This window comes from Homo sapiens, chromosome 14 (assembly GCF_000001405.40).
Source record: "Homo sapiens chromosome 14, GRCh38.p14 Primary Assembly".
Lineage (NCBI taxonomy): Eukaryota > Metazoa > Chordata > Mammalia > Primates > Hominidae > Homo > Homo sapiens.
In genome coordinates this window covers 58359524-58368422 of record NC_000014.9, presented here as the reverse complement: position 1 = coordinate 58368422, position 8899 = coordinate 58359524, and the positions used below count along the sequence as shown (strand labels likewise).

The window sequence follows — 8899 nt, the reverse complement described above, 5'->3', positions numbered from 1 at the left end:
TTAAATACAGAAAATGCACATGTAGTGATTGGCAAGGATCTTGATTTTTGTTTCAGGAACATCCAAATAGTAGGTAATTTTTCTTGGGCTGGTCATTTTCTTTAGAAGAATCTTCCAATCTCCTCCCAGGAATAAGCATAAGCTTGGCTGCCAGCTTTCAGGAAGCCAAGAGGATTAGGCCTTGAGTTAGAAGAGGGACAGCAATCTAACTATTCAGTATGCAAACTTTCACTCCATCCATTATTTTGGTTTAGCACTTAATCATTACCCTCAGCTGTGGCTGGTGCCCCCAAGTCTACAGGCCTACTGATTTCCTCATTCTCTTTTAAGTTAATCTATTTTCTGCTTGAGTTGGGGGTGAGGTAGACTTGCTTCACAGATGGGAAGAAGAGATCCAATTTCTCTTTCCATTTTCAACCAATCCCATTTTTCAGCATCGTCCCATATCCCTTCTGAAAGCTTTTCTGGGGTTACATGGTATTAATTGGCTTGCTTCTTGTTGTTTTGTCCCACTACAAGGACAAGCAAGCTTAGTTTCAGCATTATCTCATCTGCTGGGACAGTTACAGTAGTCCATCTGTTATGCAGCTTCCAAAAGATATACTGTTGACATTTCTTGTCTGTTGTGGTCATTCTCTTGTCCTTTTGAGTTTAGGGCTTTTAATTTCCTTTACTGTTATTTTAGCAGGGCTTAGGGATGGACTGTAGATGGACATGTTCATGTTTAACTGGAAGTCAATCCTACAACCCCCGAAGGGCTAGCTCAGACACTACTCCCTCTCTCTGACTACTCCAAAGTAACCTCTCCTTCCACTAACTCTTGTACTCGTTAATATCATTCTCAGGGTACACACTGTTCCACTAGATGTTAAGATCTTTGAGAAGAAAGTCTGTATCTAACTCATTTCTGTACTTCCGCCACCTGGCAGAGTGCCTGGCACATGGCATGTGCTCTTTAAAGTTGCTGAGCTGCACTATCTTATATTTTAGTTGCTTAGGAAATGATTTATAATCCCAACAAGATAATCTCCTTGAGAATAAGCCTTATGTCTCATTCATTTTGGTGAACCCCATAACAAATACAGTGCCTGTTAATAGATGCCAATAAATGTTTGAGCAAAGAGTGAATTTCAGAAGGACTATGCTCTACCTGAGAATCCATCACATTTAGTACAATCACCCATTTTGGAAAACAGTTCATACTCCCTTTTAAGGGTGTCATTCTGATTAACTCAGTTGCTGACCTACTCATTTCAACAATAGAAAACACTAGGAATTTAAAAACAGCAATTAATGAATGTGTACTATATTCAAAGAGTATCAAATTTAAATCTTCTAAAATGATAGGATATAGTTTTGAAATATAAGGGGAGAAAAATCATAATAAAATTACCTTCCCTGTCTTTCTTTTTTAATCTTTTTCTCCTCCTGTCTATGGTTGCAACTTCAGACTTCAAAGACATATAATATTTTCTGATTTCCTGTAGTTTTTCTTGGAGAAATGAGATTCTCTCTGTACTGTTCATATTATCTAATTCATCTAAAAGGGGGGAAAGAAGTTAATTTGGATTTTAAAATAATTCTGTGAGAAAAATGATGACAATTCTATCAAACGTCTAACTCATAAATCAACAAAAGCTTTAGTTTATTAAAATCTCCTACAGTAAGCTGAATAAGACTGAAAACAAGGAAGTCGTGAATTAAATTCATGATTAAGAATTATTTTTAGATCCCAAATTTTCTATACTAAACATTTATTACTTAAATGATCAGAAAAACATAAGAAAACATCAACACAAACTAACCCTGACCTATCTATAATTATAGTTATCAGAATAGTTTCCCTGTATTGACATTTTCTTCACTACTACTAGTTACATAATAGAAATAACTACTGGCTATTTCTAATTGTTAGTGCTACAAAGGGCACTTCAATTTCACTGATTTATATAAATCATACATGGCTTCTTAATGGAGACCTTCCTGTAAGTCAATATTTATCAAGTCAGTTTTATGAAAAGACACAGATTTATACTTAAGACAACATGTGGTGATTCTTGCTAAGGCAATATTTGGAATATCTAAATAGTTAATCATTATTCCTTATTTTATTAACATTAATCCAAGTTGATATTTTAAGATCTATTCCACTTTACAGTATTCATCTATCAAGTTTTCTATAAGCTTCTTACTGAGCTGAAAGCTCCATTTATATGTCCTAGGGGATGAATTCGGATGTTTTTCTCTGTGTTTATCTTTCTCTCCATCTTTGATGTGCGGGGATATTCTTGCAGGAGATCGTGCAAGTTTCTGTGGCTTAGATACATTAAGATGCTTTACTGGGGTACATTTACTTGAATTGTCTAGGACAGGAAGATCTTCACTATCACTGCTTTGTCCTATAAATAATAAAAAAGATTGACTCAGATTATAAATAAAATTCTTAAATATCAAAATGCAACAGACCTAACAATTACATTTCTTGGTATCCTACAGAAATAAGTGCACAAATGCACAAAGTTTATAACAATATAAAAACAACAAAAAAACAAAAAAACCTAAATGCTCACCAACGGGGAAATGGTTAAAAATGATAAACTATTGAATACTTTCCTAAAGTTGTTAAAAAGAATGAGCTAGAGTTCCTAAGAATAAAAATGGCAAAATATCTAGTATAATACTGTTAAATGAAAATGCAGTTATAAAACAATATAGTATTGCTCCATTTATGTTTAAAACAAGCCAACAAACTGCTAAAAATACTAACACTATACAAAAGCTAGCATTGAAAGACACCAACCTGTTCCATTCTTTTCATTTTTGGCTGCAGCACTTGTTCGCTTTGGGGTACGCTTTTGCTTTTTTGCCATTAATCCACTATTTCCATCACTTGGCCTCTTCTGACCTGAAATAAGGGGAAAGAGAGAATGTTGAAAAAAAAAAAAAAAAAAAAAAGAGCAAGTATATTATTCAACAGACTACACTGACATTTCTTTCTTTTTAATAAGAAAAGAAGAGAGAAAAGAAAAAGAAAGTACTTTACAGATCAACAGTACCTGAAACTCAACAGTTTTGATTTTTGGTTTCATATAAACACTTACTTTTCCCTAGAAAGTCCTTACCCTTCTCTCTGCTCTCTCTCTCTTGTACAATTATACTACAGGTACCAGAGGCAACATTAGTTTCAAATCCATTTGCCGATTCCCTCTCACAGAGACCTTCTTGAGATTCTTCAGCAATACTATCAACTTCAATCGTTATATCACTCTCACTTTTTACGCTTCGAGACTCATCTTGACTAAGAGTAAGTGGTGAAGCTACTGAAAAGTTATGTTGGACTACAGGAGGTAGGGCAGGTGGAATAGAAACAAGAGAGTTAGACTCAGAGCTTTCAACTGCTACATCCTCAATGCTGGTCTTATCCTTTTCATCCAAATCATCCAAATCTACTTCATGGCAAACCAAGGTTTCAGGCCCGATCAGAGGCATTGCATCCTCATCTTCTTTTAGTGGAATATTTACAGTTTCTTCAGCTGGACTATCAAATCTTTCACTAGTCAGTTGTTGGATGCATTGGTTTGACTCTGCTATCAATGATGGCATTCCTTCATTTTCTCTTTCAAAGTGCTGTTCAAAATTTAAGTTTTTCATTCCCTCAGATCCAATACAATCACTGGTCCTTTCTTGAGATACAGTATTTGTCATTTCCATTCCATTCTCAATTCTTATTTTTTTCTCTGGCGATGATTGTCCTAGTATTTTCCGTTTCAACTTCTTTTCTTTCACACATTGGTCAATTTCATCTTCTGTAGCAGAAGAAAAGTTTTTATTGTCTAATGAAGACAATTCAAGACTATGAGCTTCTATATGAGGTTCACTTCCTGCTTCATTCTGGCCAAATGATGAAATCTTTATAATTTCTAAAGAAAGATCTTTTGTCTTGCTTCGTCTTCCCTTTCCTTTTGGAGATTTTTCGGCTTCTTTCTTAACTTCTTCTGTTTTTTCCATTTTGTTCCCAAAAATCTGTACTATTTGTTCATTCTCTCCAACTTCTAACTTCAGGGTTTCTAAAGGCTGCATTTGAGTCCTATCATTTTCTTTTAATATATGTGCAGAAATCTTTGGATTTTCTTCATCTAGCTTATCATCATTCAAATTTTCATTTTTTTCTAGTTCATCTTTAAGAGAAAGTTCTTCATTTATTAAATTCTTTTCTAAAGCATCTTCTGTTTCACTATCAGATGAACAAGAGTCTGTAAGAGGAAATATTATTATATTATACAGGTTTTTATATTACCAATGTAATTTTACAATAAAAATCTTACCAAAAATAACAATAAAAATCTTTAATCATGTACCTCTGAATACCTCCCTGTAGAAATTTCTGAAATAAAACAAATCATAACATTTGTGCCAAGAATTTGAGGGGGAGGGGAAACTAAGCTCCAAGCAAAAATATATTACGTTGCATATTACTAACTCAAATCTATATGAAAAGCTATTTTGCAACATTCCCCAGTATCATATTTAGGTACAATAGTCCTTAAAAAAGATCAAAAGATTAGTACCTAGACATCCTAGACATGAAGTTAATTTGTTAAGTGGTTTGAGATAGTATCTAGGAAGGACAGATGATGGGCATTTTGTACCCTAAGAAAGGAATATGACATTCTACTTAAAATAACTGTGGAAAGAAAAGGTTTTTTCTTTTCTTTTCTTTTTTTTTTGAGACATAGTCTCACTTGGTTGCCCAGGCTAGAGTGCAGTGGCGTGATCTCAGCTCACTGCAAGCTCCGCCTCCTGGATTCAAGCATTTCTCCTGCCTCAGCCTCCTGAGGAGCTGGGATAGGCGCAGGCCACCACGCCCGGCTAATTTTTGTATTTTAGTAGAGATGGGGTTTTGCTATGTTGGCCAGGCTGGTCTCAAACTCCTGACCTCAAGTGATCCGCCCACCTCAGCCTCCCAAAGTGCTGGGATTATAGGCATGAGCCACCGTGCCCAGCAAGAAAAGTTTTTAAAATGGGCAATTGGAATCCTCAAAACTTTAAATATTCTTAACAGACAAGAAAGTACAGGAAACAAAAATTGTTCCCTGTAAGGGAACTTGTAAAATAGTAAAGTAGGGTTCTAAGACTGTATAGGATCTAAAAAATATAAAAATATTGTCCACATGGTGCTCAAATCCTCAAGAAGTTCAAAACTGCAAACATGAATTTTTTAGTGAAAAGGTGTATACAGTTTTATTTTGTGGTTTTATCATAAACAGAATGTAGAATTCATTTTCATGTTTTAAAAAATCCCTTTCAGTGGTAGTTTAATAAGGCTGGTATGTAGTTGTATAGACTGGACACTGCACACAGGTATGCCTTCTAAGAGGGTACCTTTCACTTTGTGGACATCTTAAACATTTGTCAGCAGATGGCAGTAAAGAGGAAGGATGTCCTTTTATAATTTGCACACAAGCACCATATGGACTAATAGCAAACATGTAGTTCAGTATAGCTTTTTTCTTGAAAGAAGAGAAATTTTTATATAAGACAACCATTTAAAATTTCTTTTTTGGTGGCCGGGCACAGTGGCTCACACCTGTAATTCCAGCACTTCAGGACGCTGAGGCGGGTACATCACTTGAGGTCAAGAGTGCGAGACCAGCGTGGCTAACATAGTAAAACCCTATTGCTGCTAAAAATACAAAAATTAGCCAGGTATGGTGGTGCACACCTGTGGTCCCAGCTACTTGGGAGACTGAGGTGGGAAAACTGCTTGAACCCAGGAGGTGGAGGTTGCAGGGAGCTGAGATTGCGCCACTATACTCCAGCCTGGGCAACAGAGTGAGGTGGGGTCTTGCTCTGCTACCCAGGCTGGAGTGCAGTGATGTGATTACACTTGCTGCAGCCTTGACCTCCCAGACTCAAGCAATCCTCCCACCTCAGCCTCCTGAGTAGCTGGGACCACAGGTGCACACCACCATGCCTGGCTAATTTTTAAATTTTTTTGTAAAGATGGGGTCTCACTATGTTGCCCTGGCTGGTCTGGAACTCCTGGGCTCAAGTGATCCTTTTGCCTCAGCCTCCCAAGGTGCTGGGATTACAGGCATGAACCACTGCACTCAGCCTAAAATTTCTTAATTACATTTAAAAGTATACAGAGGTAGAAAAGTGGGGGAAACGAGTACAAGCAGAATAAAATATGTTCACCTATACTCATTATAAAACATGCCTGCACCACAGTAGTCTGTGTTCTCTTAGAACCACATGGTCTCAGCTTTGCTGAAAGATCCCAGATGAACAGCATTGAATTTATAGGATACACTGGTACAGGCTTTGAGGGAAAGTGTAGCACACATTAGGATGCATGGATTGTCAATTCACCTTCTATTAAAATATATTATTTTCAAGATACTTATGAGAAAAAGTATTCCTAAATGAAAACATCACTAAATTTTAGATAAAAATGATACAGCAAAATATTTTCTTCAAATCAAATTTTATAGTTTAAATCATATGAGATTAAAATCCTAGGTGATTTACAGGTTGAACACCCCTAGTCCAAAAACCTGAAATCCAAAATGCTGCAAATTCCACAACTTTTTGGGCACCAACATGACACCACAAGTAAAAAATTCCAGACCTGACCTCATGGGACACATTGCATCCAAACACAGGTGCACAACAGTTTCTTCAGCAACCCCAAGCTAGTGTACGGGTAACCTTTTAATGAAAACACAGCATCGTAGGTGGAGACTGAAAGCCTGCTGTTTGTTTTTGCTGTTGTTTAGCAGCTGATACAGGTATTCTAGTGATGCTACCTTGCTGCTTAGTTTCCCCACACAATTTTTCCACTGTATTAATTGTAAGTCATATGTTTTACTGTTATGTAATTATGTGTGAATAAGTGTAAGAAAATTGCTTATCAGTAGCTGGCATATAAATTCAGAGTCAAGAATAACAGTGATGCCAAACAATCACAGACTGTTCACATGGGTGGCTGAGACAATTATACCTGTGATTTCTGATGGTTCAAATAACACAATCTTTATTTCATGAACAAAACTATTAAAAATATGGTATAAAATTACTTTCAGGCTATGTGTATAAGAAACACTAATTTTCATGTTTAGACTTGGGTCCTATCCCTAGGATATCTCATTATGTATATGCAATATTAAAAAAAAAAAATCAAAAACCAAAAACACTTCTAGTCCCAAGCATTTTGGGCAAGGGATACTCAACCTGTACTGTGAATATTTCACACAATGGAAGTTTTATTATTTATGTTATTGATTTTTTTTAAAGTCAGCCATCCTCAAAATTGAGCACCTTCCATTCCATTTGACAGAGGTGAGCTGTCTGGTATATTGCTGCGAGCACTTCTGGTACCTGATTTTCCTTCACTGTTTGCTGTCTTAGATAAGCCATACGGCATGTTTGATGAGAGGGTTGATTTTAAAGGAGGTCGTCCCCGTTTTGACTTCTGCCTCTCCTCATCTCTCTTTTCGTCCTTTTCACTATCTTCTTTATTCTGGGCAACAACAACAAAATGTATGAGAAGGGCCAATGCTTTACGAAAAATGAACATTCTACTTATCCAAAGAAAACTACATCTCAAAAAAGGTTTGATATTTTATATGTCACTTCCTAGTCTGTGCTTACAGAAGAATCAAGAAGAGTTTTCTGGCTGGTCTGAGAGGTTATCAGAACTTATTAACATTAGTGTCACGGAAATTGGTATATAATCCTCCACTGCTGAATTTCTAACATATTTTGTATTTATGTAAATACAATATTGTACAATTTGTAATACTGCAATTATATTGTGATGGTCAGTTAGAGCTTTAGAAGACTATACAACTATTCCGCACTCCCCGCTGTTCCCTACTATCCCCTGCAGAAAGGAAAGATATCTATCATCCAGTAGACAAAACAATGGGCAAATCTCTACAGCAAAGCTTGACAACTGAGGATGTGGGTGAGGGTACAATTGGCCAGTATATATGTGTTTTAAAATTTTAGTATTGGCTTCTAGCATTTAAAAGTCAAATTTCACATTTTAAGAAAGATAGTGGTCTTGAAAAATCCTAAAATCTGGCAACCCTGGGTCTGCATTCCCACAGCAGAGTGGTTAGTTCCATTCCGTCTAAATGAGGAATGTGACCTCTCGTTTGTCACGGTTCGTCCTACTTTATCCTTCTCCTATAAAGCCTCTACAGGAATTTGAGTTTGAAAGTCATGCCCTAGGGGTTGCTGGTTTTCACCTTTGCTGAAACAATGTGGTAATGTGTTAGTTTTAAGCTCCTGGGTTATAAAGAGAAAATCACAATTATCTGTCAAGAATCAAGATTTTTTTTTTTTTTTTTGAGACGGAGTCTTGCTCTGTCGCCCAGGCTGGAGCGCAGTGGCGCGATCTTGGCTCACTGCAAGCTCCGCCTCCTGGGTTCACGCCATTCTCCTGCCTCAGCCTCCCGAGTAGCTGGGACTACAGGCGCCGGCCACCACGACCGGCTAATTTTTTCTATATTTAGTAGAGATGGGGTTTCACCGTGTTAGCCAGGATGGTCTTGATCTCCTGACCTCGTGATCCGCCCGCCTCAGCCTCCCAAAGTGCTGGCATTACAGGCATGAGCCACCATGCCCGGCCAAGATGATTATTACAATAAGATTTATTAAACAAACACAATATCGTATATGCATATTACTAAGCAAAAGAAGCCAATCTAAAAAGGCTATATGGTGTATGATTCCAATTATATGATATTCTCAAAAAGGCAAAAACTATGGAGAGAGAAAAAGTCTGTAGTTGTCAGGGGCTGGGGTGGGGGTAAGAATAAGCAGAACATAAAGGATTTTTAGGGCAGTAAAGCTACTCTGTATGATACTATAGTGATGGATCCATGTCATT

The 8899-nt window shown here is 36.9% G+C and overlaps 1 protein-coding gene across 9 annotated transcripts in view; it reads right to left on the bottom strand.

The window, feature by feature from the left end:
* ARID4A (AT-rich interaction domain 4A) overlaps nt 1–8899 on the bottom strand; it is a 75322-nt gene that overhangs the window by 5454 nt on the left and 60969 nt on the right. For 5 of the 9 annotated variants that reach the window (XM_005267964.3, XM_047431652.1, XM_047431653.1 and 2 more), the window contains 5 exons: nt 7321–7522; nt 3123–4253; nt 2801–2905; nt 2193–2399; nt 1394–1540 (listed from right to left, as the gene is read on the bottom strand). In XM_005267964.3, coding sequence (XP_005268021.1) covers nt 1394–1540; nt 2193–2399; nt 2801–2905; nt 3123–4253; nt 7321–7522 — 1792 coding nt within the window. The remainder of the gene's footprint in view (nt 1–1393; nt 1541–2192; nt 2400–2800; nt 2906–3122; nt 4254–7320; nt 7523–8899) is intronic. The other 4 variants (NM_002892.4, NM_023000.3, XM_005267965.3 and 1 more) reach the window with 4 other exon arrangements.